We start from the raw sequence: 15,989 nt of genomic DNA, 5'->3' as shown, positions 1-15,989 counted from the left end.
CCTGGAGAGCATCCCAATATCAGATATGGTTAGCCTGGATATTTAGCTTTTTGCCTTTCACCTTTGGACAGGTCATTTCATAACCTTGAGCCACAGTTACTTATTTTTAAGGTGAGCCTCTGGTTTTGTATTGCTGTATAGCAAGCCATGTCATACTTGGTAGTATAAACCATCAACACTCATTTATTATTATAATCTCATCTGGTTCTGGGCTCAGCTGGGCGGTTCTTAGGCAGGACCTCTCATGGAGTTGCAGTTAGTTGGTGGCTGGGCTGGAGTCACCCGGAGCTTCCACACTCATGTAACTGGTGCTTGCTGCTGGCTGTTGGCTGGGATTTCAGAAGGGACTGTCAGCAGGGACATCTACTTGCAGCCTCCTCGTGTGCCCTTGGCTTCTTCACAGCATAATCTCTGGGTCATCTATTGTTAAACACACTCACTGAGGCCCATCCAGGTTCAAGGAGAGGAGACACAGGCTGCAGCTCTTGCTGGGGACATGGTAAGGCTCTGGGATGGGGTGCAGCTGTTTCTGGAAAATATAGTCTGCCACCATAAGGATAATAATAATGGGTGTTTGGGTCACTGTAAGAATAAATGAAATAATGTTAACAGGCAGTGAAGTATAGGGGAAAATGTTTGAATTTTGGAGTTAGAGTAGCTTGGATTTCGATTCTGATTCTACTACTTCCCAGCTGTGAGAGAAGCTGACCATGTTCTGGTGGGTTCTGTCCATCAGGACTGATTGAAGAAGGTGTGGGGGTAAAAGTAGGGGGACACTTCAGATATTTCTTCTTTTTCCTTTCCTGGTGTGTCTGGTGGGCTGTTGCTGGTTTGTGTAGTGTTTAACAGTGACTTTCCTGCAGCAAGACTTACCTCTTATTTAAGATGATTATGTTTATAATGAAACGCTGTGGATTTTTTGGATTGAAATCACACAGGAGGTGATCCCTTATCACAGCCCTTTGATTGGGGCCGATTGAGGAGTTTGCTAATTTCTAATACCTCTCTTCCTAGATCATGGCAAAGACGAAATGAATTAACATGTGTGAGCTCGAGAGTGTAGGTGTTGTGGTGGATGGGCTGAGTGTGGATTTTGGGATCAGATAACGAGTTTGGATCCCAGCTTGGCATTTCATTAACTGGGGAATCTTACATAAGTCAGGTCCTGTCTCTGAGCCTCTGCTTTCATTTCTCTAAAATGGGATGATGCCCTGGGTTACCAGGTCACACAATTGTAAGTAAAGCCTCTCATCGCATGGTCTATGTGAACCGTGTCCCCAGAGGTGTGACGGGCCCACTCTGCATGGCCCTGATGGCCTCTGCCATGCACTGCTGTCCTGAGGGTGAGAAAAGGGATGGTGGGGAAGGGCCAGTGTGAGCCTGGACCAAGAATACTCTCAGCAAAGGTTTGCTCCCCTCCTGCCTTCCCTGAACCCTGGGTGGGGAGCAGTGAATTTCCTAGAACCCTTGCAGAGAGTTCTTTTCTTCTGCTCCCATGACAAGTGGGACCAGATGGTTTCACTGAGCTCTTCCTTGGGGACTGCGAAGTACTCTAGGTTTCTCACAGCCTGCGGCCCTGGGAAAGGGGCTCCTGCTGTAGGTGGTGAGGCCAGGAAGTCAGGGGTTCATTCGCCGTGGTTTAGATCTGGATGGGCCTGTTGTACGGCTGTGCAGTGTGTCACACTGGTTTTTTGATTAGTCCAGTATGTTCTCAGCCACTCAGCCCCTTCGTTATGTACTTGCCCTTTGGAGACTTGAGACAAAGTGCTGGGTTTGTGGATGGGATTCAGATGGACCTGAATTTGAATTCCTATTACTTACACCCTTACTTACTGGCTGTGGGATCTTGGCCAGTTGCTCATTTCTTCTGAGCCTCATTTCCTTTATCTATAAAATGGGAACAATAGCCCATTACTATCTCTCCGGCTGGATGTATGAATTAAATGGCATACAGCCCACGTAACGGAGTCATTAATTTGACAGTATTGATTATTTATTGAGTGCCCAGGAAGCTTTCCAGGTGCTGAGATGGGAACTTGTAGGCAGTCTGTGTACTTGGGGGCAGCAGCTGAGCATAGCTGAGTAAACTGGTCAGATGGTGAGGGATGGTGCTTGTCAGATGGTGAGGGATGGTGATCCGTGCAAGGTGAAGATTGCAGGCGCAGGGCTGCTTTTCTGTGGGTCATCTGGGAGGGCCAGGCCAATGAAAGAGGGATTTGAGCAGGGCCTGGAGGGGGTCCGGAGTGAGGACATGGCTCTTCGTGGGAAGACCAACAGGCAGTAGGAAGAGTGTGCAGGTGGTCGAGGGGAGGCCTCATGTGGCGGATGTTTAAGGATCAGATGAAGTGCCAAGAGGTGTGGGCAGGGGTGAGGCCTGCAAGGACGAGTGCAGGGAGGGGAAGGAGCCAGACAGCCCCCACCTGCAGGACACCCCAAGTAGCTCAGCTTGGTCAGGAAATGCCCTGTCGCCTCCTTTCTCTTAGTATTTTACCACTTTTTAATACACCTTTAAAGAAAGTACATTTATATTTGTAAATAACCTTAAAAAAAGAACTTTGCAGTTTTCCCATTCCCATAAAATAACCTACTCTTCAGTGTAAAATAAGTCCCATCCTTGCCACTAAGTGGCTCACTTAGAATCAGTGACTATTTCTAGTTCATGCTTTACACGTCTGCTCAAATGACCCTCACAACAACCCTGTGAGCCAGTGTTACTATGCCCATTTAACAGATAAGGAAACTGAAAGGCAGAGAGGTGAAGGGCAAGGACAAGGTCACACGGCTTGCAAAAGGCAGACAGGACTTAGGCCTGGGTTTTCCTGACTCCAGGTTGTTCCCTCAGCCCTGGCTGATGACGTCAAGTCCTGGAGCCTTTGACCTCCGACAGCCTCTGCCTCCCTTCCTCTGTCTGCCTCCAGCATCCGTTTCTGTTGCTGATGTCGGTGTCTGAGATGCAGGCATCTCCCTAACTTGCCAGGCTTGATGAAGCTCAGTGGATTTCTTTTAGTGATGATGGACATAATTAATTTAGCAGAGGAGATGCCTCATTGCTGCCAGTGTCAAATAAAAACGAGAAGGAAGACAGGTTGCACTCTAGCTCTGAACACGACGATGAGCTCAGTCAGCCGGAGGGTCAAGTATTCTTGGAAGAGGGAGGACCCCAGCTGAGGGCCTGGTTTGTTCTTAGCAATGCCTCACGTGCACCTTGTCCTAAGCAGCAAGCAATGATGACAGCAGGCATGGAGGCTGGGCCATGGAAAGTGAGTGCTTGATCCAGGCAGGTGAAAACATTCCTGAGAATATGTCAGTAAGTGGCATGCCATTCATTGGTTCTCAAACTTCAGTGTCTATATAGATAATCTAGAAGGCATGCTTAAAAAAATCCAGATGCCTTCACCACATTCCCAGAAGTTTAAATTCAGTCTCTTTGGAGAGGGTCTTGGGATCCTGATGTTTATCAGTCGTTCCACATGATTCTGGTGCAGAAGGTTCCAGAAACATCGGCACAAGGGTTATGTGCATGAGCTCTGGAGTTTTTCAGTTGTGGTTTTGAAGCTGGTATGACTCAACACAAGAGATCTAGCCTCCTTAGTCTTTGCTTCCTCCTGCTGTGGAATAAGCTGTAATATACCCACCTCAGAGGGTTATTGAGGAACATATAGGACCACGCACATAACATTGCTTTACTTTTGAATTGACAGTTTGCCAAGAGTAGGAGGCTCAGCCTTCAGGTGGAGGACCAGTCAGCAATACTTGAACAGTTGCTTGGGGCTCCAAGTCCAGCAGATGCCAACTCCATCAGCAGGACCAACCACTCAGTCCTTCAAGGTTCAGCTGGGACATCATTGCCTCCAAGAAGCCTTCCTGTGGCTTTATGCCTTGAGCTCCCACTACCTGCTGCATCCCCTTCTATGGAAACATTTTTCACATTGCACCAAAACAGTCTGCTGCTATATTTCTCTCCCTGAGCTGGACTGTGAGCTCTTCAGTGGAAGGGACAGTCTTGCTCATCCTTGCTTCTCTAGGACCCAGCATATAGTGCATTTTGCATAGCTGTAATCAGAATATCGAAGCAATCTTGTATTGCTTTTGCCTTCCCTTCACACAGTAAGCATTTGTCATGGTCTGCAGTCTTTATCCTTAGCATTTCTAAGGGTGCCTAATGTTCTATAGAAGTGTTGCTCTCTGAATGTTTGAACTGTTCCCTTATTAAAAGTCCTCCTTTATTTGCTATTATAAATAATGTTGAGGAGAACCTTGTGTCCCTCCCTGGTTTGTACAGTGGACTGCTGCAGATTATCAAGAAAACCACTTGATTCTAATAGTAAATAATTTAAATAGATAATTGTAAGAAGGTGGGATGCAATCCCCAACCACATAAAAAAATAGTCAACCTTACTAGGTATAAAATGCAAAATAAAATGATGCCTGATGTTCTATCTACTAAATTAGCAAACTTGAAAATAATGGTAATTTCAAGCACTGATAATGACATTAAGAATTAGGCGCACTTGTTTAAACATTGTCTTTGGGAGTGGAAATTAGCACTATTTGGCAATGGGTTTAAAGATTGGTAATCCCACTGCTTGGCACACCATGGTAAAGAAATGACTTCTTGTACAAATTGGAAGAAATCGCAAGGCTGTTAATGGTTACTCATACTCTTTTGCAACACAGAGTCATCTTCCCTGTAGAGAAGGCAGCTTCCGTAGCATTCTAGCCCTGCATGGTATGAGTTCCAGACTGGAGGTGGAGGGAGAGATAAGAGCAGCCTCCATGAAGATGTGATGCTTGATCTGAGACTTGCAGGGTCGGCAGCTCCTTGGCCAACAGAAGGGAGAGTGGGAAAAGGGAGAGGTGGGTATCCCAGCATTTGTGAACGTGTGTGTGCACATGCCTGTGTTTGTAGAAGGGTGAGTGAGTACTTGGGTGTGTCAAAACAAGAGGCTGGAGGGACTGCAGATCATGAATTCTGGGCCATGCTTGAGTGTCCCCTGAAGGTGGTGGGGTGACACTGAATTAGAGAAGAGACATGGATTTTAGAAAGCTGTCACTGACTGAAGGATGGAGGCAGGGAAGCCAGGTCGGAGGCTGTCACAATAGCTTAGGGGAGAAATGTTGAAGATGAGCCTGTGTGAAGGTGGATTGGTTGGAGGGAAGAAGGTGGATTACAAAATTTTAGGAGCTCACCTCCACTTTTCTGTATGACCCTCCTCCAGGCACCTTCCCTGGGGAAGGTTCTACTTCGCCGTGCGTCTTCCCGATACACGGGGTCTCCTGGAAGCCTGTGGGGCCCATCAGCTCAGGCACATTGCAAACTCCGCTAATGGCATGTTGGCTAATTGCATAATGCAGCTATCTGCCTGTGAATTGAGGCCCAAATGTTGTTCTTTGCAGGGTAATTATGCGGGATAAGTGAATGGCTGGAATATTTACAAGATTTTGTCCCTTGGTCGATTTCCTTTCTCAGAAGACAGCCGCTGTGTGGGGTAAAACATAAGACAGAAAATATCTCTGGGACTTGCGCAACATGGCCACAGGAAGGCTTGTGGTGTTTGAGAGAGGAACATGCAAAATATTAAGTTTGGGTAAAAAAGAGCATACAACTGTTCCATCCTTGAAATGCATATGTTCCACCGGATGACTGGCAGGGCTGGATTCGGCTCTTGCCTGTTTCCAGCCGAGGAGCGTGTCTCATTTCCAGCACTGGCATGTCAGGTTGGACACGGGTCCGCACATGGTTCCTGGGGTGCACGGCTGGGTGTTGGGTTTCTGCTGCATTGGATGTGAATCCTGAAGCATCCGTGGTTGTGACTTTGACGGAGTGATTTCCATAATCTAGGCCTCAGTTTCCTCATCTGTGAAACGGGGAAAGCAATATGTCTTTGGAGAGTTGTCATGGGGGGTCTCAGAGGTGAGGGAGGTAAAGGGTTCCCTATGAAGTATGGGATTGAGATGAGGCTTCTTTCCCTCCGCTTCAGACCAAGGGCAAGCCCCGAGCTGGGCATTGTGGGGCTTCCTGGGGACCGAGGAAACCCTGACTAGTGTTGCCTGTTTCAGCCTCCTCCCCATTAACTCAGCTCAGCCGCGTTAGCTGGGAGCCTGGGTGGAAAAGAACTTCGTTGAAGGCCTTGCCCTCTTTCTGAGAAAAGGTGGTAAAAGTGGATCTGCTTTTCCTAGTGCCAAGCACTGTGGGAGAATTTCTTTTTTTTTTTTTTGTTTTTTTGAGACGGAGTCTTGCTCTGTCCCCCAGGCTAGAGTGCAGTGATGCGATCTCAGCTCACTGCAAGCTCCGCCTCCTGGGTCCACGCCATTCTCCTGCCTCAGCCTCCCAAGTAGCTGCGACTACAGGCGCCTGCCACCACGCCCGGCTAATTTTAGTAGAGATGGGGTTTCACCATGTTAGCCAGGATGGTCTTGATCTCCTGACCTTGTGATCCGCCCACCTCGGCCTCCCAAAGTGCTGGGATTACAGGTGTGAGCCACCGTGCTCAGTCCAGAAAATGTTTTTATTTTATTTTATTTTTATTTTTTTGAGACAGAGTCTCACTCTGTCACCCAGGCTGGAGTGCAGTGGCATGATCTCGGCTCATTGCACCTTCTGCCCCCAGGTTCAAGCGATCCTCCCACCTCAGCCTCCCCAAGTAGCTGGGACTACAGGCGCCCACCACCACGCCAGTCTGATTTTTGTATTTTTTTGGTAGAGACAGGGTTTCACCATGCTGGCCAGGCTGGGCTTGAACTCCTGACCTCAAGTGATCCTCCTGCCTTGGCCTCCCAAAGTGCTGGGATTACAGGCATGAGCCACCATGCCTGGCCTCGAAAGTGTTTTAAGACACACATAACCCTTGGAAAGGATTTTCATCTTCATGCTTTGCAGAGGACATTAGACGCTCAGAGAGGTTACATAACTTTCTTTGGGTCACACAGCTCACAGGTGACAGGAGTTGGGTTTGGACTCATCTCCAATGCCTGCCCTCTCTGGGCTAGGCCAGGGTGCAGGAGGTTCCCTTCGCCTTTTGATGTGTGTGAGTAGGAGGTGTTTGTTTTTCCTTCTCAAACTCCAACTGTGGCCCTTAGCTGTTGGGGAGGTCAGATGAAAGCTGCTTTTGTCCTTGGCCTTCTTCAAACAGGTTCTGGTCTCTGCATCTGAGTGGCTTTTCCGCAAAGTGGATCTGGCTTCTTGACAAGGCACCATCCACCCCCAGCTGCCCGCCCCCAGCCTCCCTGCTGTGGGAACCTCCCATGCCATGTTCTCCTGGCCGGCAGCCACCTTCCCTAGCCTCGTGTGTCCCTGCTCTCCTTTAATGATAGGGATGTGGGCTCCCCAAAGCTCACAACACAGAGAGGAAGTACTGCTGAGAGGGTTGAAGAGCACGCCAGAGTCGCAGGCAGGAGTCTTGGCCTGGTCACCTACTACCTGCATGCCTCCAGGCAAGCTCTCCATCCTCTCGGTGCCTCGGTGTCCTCAACTGTCAAATGGGTGTCATATGGCATGTCCCTCCAAGGGCAGAGGTTGGTGGAGATGAAACACAATAATGAACATCGAGTGCCTGGCTTGTGGGAAGTGGTTATCTCAGGCCTTGCTGTCATTGTCACATCTCATGAGTGATGGAGCCTGGTGCAGTGGCAGAGTCCAGAGGGGTTAGACAGAACTGGGTTCTCCACTCACCTCCCCTGATCAGCTGCCTGGCCTTGGGCAATTGCTCCATATCAGGGGACGTTCATGGGGACGTTCATCGGGGGGTGCTGAGTTGAGAAAGGAAGAGCTCCAGGAGCTCTGGGTGAACTCAGGCACCCACGTTAACTGCTGTGTAGTGACATGGGTTATAACTAGTTTAGTCTGGCCAACATTTGTTGAGTGCCTACCTCGTGCAGGCACTGGGTAAGGACAGGATGCAAGCAGAGTTCTCAAATGCAGTGGTTTACAGTCGAAGCAGACAACGTGCACACCACAGCCTGCAGTACAGCGGGTGTTTGGAAATACACAAATTCAGCTTCTCTGCTCTCCCAAGTTGTGACCTCCTGCCTTCCTATCCAACAAGTCCTGGCCTTCCCGACACTGAGCCTTCCTGATCACTTCCTGACTGATGCTGTCGTGTGAAGTTAGGTCTGATGATTCTGGCAGCCCATCGTGGCTACGCTCATCCCATGCGCTTGGCCCTGATCGTCCCTGTGCCACCCTCACTGCCCGGCACTTAGAGGCTATGTGGAGCCATGGGCAGGGTCCAGGCAGATACGGGACAAGGGCTTGGCTGTACTCACTGCCCTCCGCTCGGTGCCTGGAGCAGGCCCTGGCACATCGGAGGCCCTGGCAGGTTGGTCTTGTGTAGTGATTCTTGCTCTTGGTGGTTTCCTTTGCTCTGTATGCTCAGCCCCCAGTAACGGTGAATGAACTTGAGCTGGTGAGTGAATGTCAACTCCTATTTATCTCCCCAAAACAAACAAAAATATGTTTTTAAGTGCAGTTTGGAAACTCCTGAGGTTGTCAAGTTAAAAAAAGAAAGAATGGAGATGTGCTGTGTGGAATGTCATGAAACATCATTGGCCTTTTAAACGTAACACGACTCAATGTGCCCAGTGAGTTCGAAGCTTGGTTAGGTTAGGTGAGAAACTAGCACAATAAAAGTCAAAAGTTGGCCAGGTGTGGTAGATGATGCCTGTAATCCCAGCACTTTGGGAGGCTCGGGCGGGTGGATCACTTGAGGTCAGGAGTTCTAGAGCAGCCTGACCAACATGGTGAAACCCTGTCTCTACTAAAAATACAAAAAATTAGCTGGGCGTGGTGGCGCACTCCTATAGTCTCAGCTACTCGGGAGGCTGAGGCAGGAGAATCGCTTCAACCCAGGAGGCGGAGGTTGCAGTGAGCCAAGATCATGCCATTGTACTCCAGCCTGGGCAACAAGAGGGAAACTCTGTCTCAAACAAACAAACAAACAAACAAACAAAAACCTCAAACGTTTAAGAAACATGTAGGAGACGAAGCATTTGAAACTAAAAATTCTTTATACGAATGGTGTGTGTGTGTGTGTGTGTGTGTGTGTGTGCATGTGAGCACATGCTGAAAGGCCTTTTATTGTGGTGGAGCGTGTTGGACCCAGGGCAGCCTGTTCCAGGTATGCAACAGGTGCTCAATAATTGCTCTTGGATTAGATCGAGTGAAGCTCCCTGCTTTACATCCCACTTTTCTTTGCCAGGGTGTATTATGTGAAAATTGCTGGCCAGCAGAGGGAAAACACCTCAGTGGTCAGATTGAGTTGGTTTAAAAATCCATTAGCAATTAGTCTGCCCTCAGGACGTGGTATTCCTGGGTTTATTCACCCTTTGGTTTGCTCAGTAGTCTCCCTTCCCAGCTGCAGCCCTGAGCAGGATGTATACAAAGGTGACAGGCAAGTTTGGGTTTCTGGGTGTGTAAGTTCCTTGGGCTGCCATGACCTAGTACCATAAACTGGGGCTTCAACAAGAGATATTTATTTCTCACAGTCTGGAGGCTGGAAGTCCAAGGTGAAAGTGTCAGCAGGGTTGGTTCCTTCTGAAGCTGTGAGGGAGAATCTGTTCCAGGCCTCTCTTCTTGTAGATGGCAGTCCCCATCCTCATGTGGCTTTCTCCCTGTGTGTGTCTGTCCCCAAGTTTCTCCTCCTTATAAGGACACAAGTCATACTGGATTAGGGCCCACCCTAATTCCCTCATTTTAATTACTACCTCTGTAAAGACTCTGTCTCCAAAGAAGGTCACATTCTGAGGCGCTGGGGTAAGACTTTCCATATGAATTTTTTGGGATGCAATTCAACACATGACATAAAGACTCCCAGGCCCAGAGGGAGGCAGGAAGTCCGTGGACCCCTGCAAAGGAGTGGGAGCGAGGTACCTTGGAAGAAGAGAAGTAGTGGCTGAATCTGCTCAGGAAGATCTGAGAAGCCTTTATGGGAAGCCACATGCAGGCAGGAGGGAAGGACTGAGCTGGAGTTTGCTAGAGCGGGGAGGTGGGTGGAGGGAGGACACTGTCTGGCTGACCATGTGCCGAGTTCAGGAAGTATGGTTGACCTAGAAGGCTGCCACAGTGCCCTGACAGGGCCATGGGTGCCATGTGGACACTTGGGGAGAGGAGGCTGCAGGCAGGCTGGGGCCCACAGTGCGGCTTGGGCTCCAGCCTGAAGGCCACTTAAGTCTGAAGGCCATGCAGCCTAGAACGGTTTTGCCCAGGGCAGGAACAAGATCAGATCTGGGCTTAAAAAAATTCATTCACATTCACTCATTTGACAAATATGTATTAGTTGGTTCTTTATTGAGGGATCTTGGGCCCTGGAGTCATTCTTCTGTTGATGAGCTAAGTGACCTCAACTAAGTTATTTAACCTCTTCAGACTGTAGAATTGGGACTTAATAGCAATGCCTGCCTCCTAAAGTTCTGGGATGAGGAGGTGTCATAAGGGACTTGAAAACTTGGCTTAGAACCTGCTGTAGAGTTCAGTGTTCACCAAATATGAGCTACTAGGATGGAGGAGACAAGAGGAGGAGAAGGAAAAAGATGAAAAGAGAAAGGAAGAAAAGGAGGATGGGGAGAGCCGGTCAGATACAAACCCAAGAACCGTGCACTGAGGGAAGGACAGGGAGGAAGACCAGGGGGTCTCTGAGCATAGGCCATCCAACCCAGGGAGGCCTGACCTATCCATGCTGGATGTGAGCATGGAGAGAGAGTCAGGGAGCCTGCAAGGGGAGCTGGTGTGAGGCCAGGAGGAGCTGAGTGTCCTCCAGGGGCTTGAGTGACACATTGGGTGTTGGCATCTTTCTCTGAGCAGGTACTTCCCTACCTGTGGCCAGCAGACAGCCACTGGCTGAAGGGAAGGGCCGTTTCTATATTTCTGGTGTGCACACACAGATGATAGTTCCTGCAGATAAGCTGTCCCTGGAAGCCTGGTCTGTTCCCTTGGCTGCTCTTGGTGGAATGGATTGGGTTTTGGGTGCTCTCAGAGATAGTGTCCTCTGGGTGCTGGCACCAGCCTTGCCTCGCTTGGTTTAGGAGTTGCCATGCTTCATGGGGCAGTCAGTGTATATTTTCTTGGGGCCTTTCAATGGTCCCTGTCATTTTAATTGCCTCCTGTCGCTCTGCAGGAGGACTCAGAAATGTGTTGAGAAGTGGGATCCAGCTCTGCTTGGAGCCTAGTCCTCCTGAACCTGAATTGACTAATCTGTGAAATGGGGCCTCATAGACCCAAGGCTGGTGTGTCTGCTGTATGCTTTCTGACTGGAAGGTGTCCAATTCTTACAGGCATCTCAGGTTGTTGTGGGGGAAAGGAAATGATGACCATGAGCAATGGTGGGCTGGCAAGCATGTAACAACCAGCTATCTGAAAAAAATTCTGGTTTGTAGTGTTTGCCAATTTCTTTGGTGTAAATACTTCCACCATGGCCAATTTCAAGCCACCAAAGGATGTCACTGAACCCTGAGTCAGGAGCTCCTGAGACGTGCCATTGCTGCATCTGGGAGCAGACACAGCACACAGTCAGTGGGGGCCATTAATTATTGGCATTATTTTTTATCTTAGAGGACTGAAAATGTCACGCTGATCTGCTGAATGAAAGAAGTAAGCAAACATATCGGAAGCGGATAGTATGGTTTGCTTCCAAACTAAGCCAAGCTAAGAACACTCACATACACTATCTTGTTTAGTCCTCACATTCTTTTTTTTTTTTTTTTTGAGATGGAGTTTTGCTCTTGTTGCCCAGGCTGGAGTGCAATGGCACGATCTCAGCTCACTGCAATCTCTGCCTCCTGGGTTCAAGTGATTCTCTTGCCTTGGCCTCCTGAGTAGCTGGGATTACAGGCTCCCGCCACCATGCCTGGCTAATTTTTGTATTTTTAGTAGAGATGGGGTTTCACCATGTTGGCCAGGCTGGTCTCAAACTCCTGACCTCAGGTGATCTGTCCGCCTTGGCCTCCCGAAGTGCTGGGATTATAGGCATGAGCCACTGCACCCGGGCAGTTCTCGTATACTTCCATAGCATGGAGCTTTTACTCTCGTTCTGTAGATGAAGAAACTGAGGCTCAGAGAGCTTAACCAACTTGTGTAAGTCCCCAGCCAATAAGTGGCAGATGGGACCTTGAACCATGAGGAGGAGGAAAGTGGTCAGTAGTAATATTAATAGAAAACCTTCACTGAATGTTTGTCATGTGTCAGGGACACTCCCTCATATAATTCTCACAACAGAATTACTTACAAGGTGGGCATGATACTCTGCCCAAAATAAAGATGACACAGCAGAGGCTCAGAGAGGTTAAGGAACTCACCCTAGGTCACACAGCTAGAGAGTGGTAAAGCTGTAACTTGAGCCCAGGTCTTTCTGCTTCTAACACTCAGATTGCCACACCACCCTTGTACTGCAGTGATCACATTATGTCTTCTACAGTCTGCTATTGGTAAAGATCTCTATTCTTAGTCCCCAGACTTATATAAAATATCACTTACATTGTGGATGCCCCTCCAAGTGCACATGGGTATGAAGAAATGCCTGACACAGATGGTGCAGGAGAACAAGGGGCTGCCTTGGGCTGGGCCACTGTCAGTGTCCATGGCCTTGGGCAAGTCTCAGCCTGTCCTTGCATCTGTGGACACAGAGGCTGGGCCTCTAGGAGAGGCTGGTGGTGAGCCTCCAGTTCTATTGTCCCCCATCAGCCTGGGGCAGTCACTGACATCAGCGATACCTGCAGGGAGAGCCACTGAGTGAGCGTCCGTCCCCTGGGAGTCGTTGCTGGTGGCTGGTGAAGAGAGAGGATTCGGCCTTGGAGAGGCTGGATTTGGGAGCCTTTCCTTCACCATCTCAGGAGAAGAGAAAGTATCACAGGGCACCTGGCAGGTGAATGGCCAATGAAAAAAGAGTTTTGTAGAAAGTTTCCCATGCTCTGCAAGACTCTGGCTGAAGGAGGGTAAAACAGTGGGGCTGGGCTGGGGCTGGACTGGGCTGGGCTGGGCTGAACTGAGCTGAGCTGGGCTGGGGTTAGGGCTGGGCTAAGTAGGGTTGGGGCTGGGCTGGGGTGAGCTGGGACTGGACTGGACTGGACTGGGCTGGGCTGGGCTAGGGCTGGGCTATGGCTGGACTGGGCTGGGTTGGGTTGAGGTTGGGCTGGGGCTGGGCTGGGCTGGGGCTGGTCTCATCTGGCCTGGGCTGGGCCAAGCTGGGCTGGGTTGAGCTGGGCTAGGTCTGGTCTGATCTGGCCTGGTCTGGTCTGGGGCTGAGGCTGGGTTGGGGCTGAGGTGATCTGAACCGAGCTGAGCTGAGCTGGGGTTAGGGCTAGGCTGGGCTGGGTTGGGTTGGGTTGGGGCTGGGCTGGGTTGGGTTGGGTTGGGTTGGGGCTGGGCTGGGGTGAGCTCGGGCTGGGCTAGACTGGACTGGGCTGGGCTGGACTGGGCTAAGTCTGGTCTGATCTGGTCTGGTCTGGGGCTGAGGCTGGGTTGGGGCTGAGCTGATCTGGTCTGGTCTGGGCTGAGGCTGAAGCTGGGACTTGGCTGGGCTGGGCTGGGTTGGGTTGGGTCTGGGCTGGGGCTGGGGCTGAGCTGGGCTGGGTCTGAGCTGGTCTGGTCTGGTCTGGGCTGAGCTGGGCTGAGCTGGTCTGGGCTGGACTGGTCTGGTCTGGACTAGGCTGGTCTGGGCTGGCCTGGTCTGGTCTGGACTAGGCTGGTCTGGGCTGGCCTGGTCTGGTCTGGAGTGGGGTGGGCTGGGCTGGGCTGGGGTACTGCTGGGATCCAAACTGTGTCTGCTCTGGCAGAGGTGAGAGGTGGGTGGTTGTTTAGGGAGGTGGGGGCTGGGAGTGGGGCTCCAAGGGTCTTGGGAAGGGGAATGAACACTGGCCTTGAAGGCAGAGACTTGGGGTCTTGGCAACTGTGATCAAGTTACTTTACTGCTCAGAGCCTCAGCCTGCCCGTCGGTAGAGTAGTTGTGATAGCACAGCCCCCAGAGTGGAGGCTGAGGTAAGGAATAGACACAGAACCTGGTATACAGGAAGCACTCAGTGGACAGCTATTGTCTACCTCTCCATTAAGGTCCTTGTCACATCTCTCTTTGCAAATGGTCATGGACTAAGGCTGTTATTTGACATTCCCTGTGCTCCTTTAGCCCCAAGCCTAGGGAGGGCACTGGCAGGTGGCCCTGGGACCGCCTCTCCTCCTGGGAAGCCCCGCGTGTTTCCAGGCTCTGGAGCAAGCCTCCCAGAGCTGGAAGGCGCCGTTGTGTACGTGGGCCGCCGCCCTCCACCGCCCTCCGCCGCCAGGGCTCTGCAGACGCTGGCTCCCAGGAGCCGGGACAAAGCCCTATTATGCAGGGTGCTCACACTCACGTCTGAAGCGTGTGAACCTGCCGACCCGCCCGCCCGGCCCACAGAGGCTAGAGTGGCTCTGCCCAGCCATTGTTCCCACAGGGTAAGGGAGGTCACCCGGGGTGAGGCCGCCCAGGGCGTCTTTTGAGGCTGCGGAGGATGAACCCTCTTTTGCTGGGATGGGAATAGCTGTTCTCTGTCTTCCTCTTGGTGTAGTCTTGGTTGAAGGTGGCAGGCTCTGATCTGGAAGGAAGGATGCCCAGGCTCTGTTTAGCACCGGGAGGTGGGAATGCCGGGTCCCAGGGTGGCTTTTGGAATGGAGTAGGTGTGTAGCTGGAGGATGTGGAACTTGCCGGAGCAGCAGAGGGGTAAACCACATCCACTCATCCCGTCAGTAACTATTTGTTGAGAGCTCACGATGGGCCAGGCACTGTGGATGCAGTAAGAACAGGTACAAATCTCCACTCTCACGGAGCCTGTCTTCCAGGGAGGACTTCTAGAAGACCTCGCCTGGCCTTTTCTGGCTTTCCAGCTCTATGAAATGATTCACTTTTCCACTGGACACTTATTAAGCCTGAGGGATATTCATTCATTCATTCATCCACTCATCCATCCATTCATTCATTCAACAAATGCTTATTGAGCAGCACCTACTATGAGCCGCACCCTTCATTAGCAATCAGGTTGTCTTAGCTTTGGTTGTCCCAGACAAATCCTGAGACAAGGACTCCTGTGTTGGGTGGTTTATTAGGATGCACTTCCAGAAGAAACCAGTAAGGGGTGGAGGTAGGGGGTGAAGAAGAGGTCAGGGGACTCAGCCACAGAGGGTGAGATTTCAGGGACACTTCCAGTCTCAGCCTGATCTCCTGGGGGAGCTCTGGGGGTATAAATTGTAAATTGTGCCTCAGAGCTTGTCCCGAGTTTAGGCAAGGAGCTGGTGGCCCCAGGGCCTCACCAGGGCTCTTAAACTTGGGGGCGCTTGGGCTCTCTGAATGCAGCTAGGGTAGCTCAGGTAGCCCAGGCCTGTCCTCTAAAGGGAGTCACAGGCGTAGGTGGATAGAGGCGAAAGTGATAGAGGCCATAGAGCCAGGAAAGGCTCACCCAGAAATGTGAAATGAAAAGTGCCCCCAAACTGGAACCAGCCTTGCCCAGGATGGAGCCTTGGCAGAACAACCAGGTGGGGGCGGGGACTTGTGAGTCAAGCACTCCCTAGAGGCCCTACCTCCTTTATCCCCCAGCCTAGGGAAAGAGGCATCAGGGAGGTCTTCTTGGAGGAGGTGACCCTATGGGTGCAGTGGGTGCAGAACGATTGCTATACAAATACACACACACATACACACACACACGCAAACGCATGCAGAAACTTGTGGCAGGGTTGGGATTTGAACCTAGGTCTGCTGATTCTAAAACCTGTGTTTATTTCATTTTGCTTTTCTCTACATTAACATTTTTTCACCCAAGGTCATGATTTCATAGAGTGGGTTGAAGGCGTTTTAGTGGTCGTCGCAGCCAGCTCCTTTGGGTTTCAGGCTGGGGAGCTGAGTCTGGGAGAGGGGCGATGGCTTCCTAGTGTCACACAGTGGTTTAGCGCCCGAATCCTGGCCTCAGAGTCCCAGCCCCAGACTTGCCAAGCCTCAGTTCCTGCTGACTCTTGCATCATGGGATTTTGGGCTCTGTGA

The 15,989-nt window shown here is 50.7% G+C and overlaps 1 long non-coding RNA gene across 1 annotated transcript in view; it reads left to right on the top strand.

The window, feature by feature from the left end:
- The first annotated feature begins 4,710 nt into the window (after positions 1–4,710).
- The window catches only part of LOC107984696 (uncharacterized), a 76,716-nt gene continuing 65,437 nt past the window's right edge, over positions 4,711–15,989 (top strand). The window contains exon 1 of the long non-coding RNA XR_001750878.3: positions 4,711–4,857. This is a non-coding gene — a long non-coding RNA (uncharacterized LOC107984696). The remainder of the gene's footprint in view (positions 4,858–15,989) is intronic.

The sequence above is a fragment of the Homo sapiens genome, chromosome 14 (assembly GCF_000001405.40).
Source record: "Homo sapiens chromosome 14, GRCh38.p14 Primary Assembly".
NCBI lineage: Eukaryota > Metazoa > Chordata > Mammalia > Primates > Hominidae > Homo > Homo sapiens.
The sequence above is the reverse complement of the archived record's forward strand: the minus strand, read 5'-3'. Positions and strand labels throughout refer to the sequence as shown.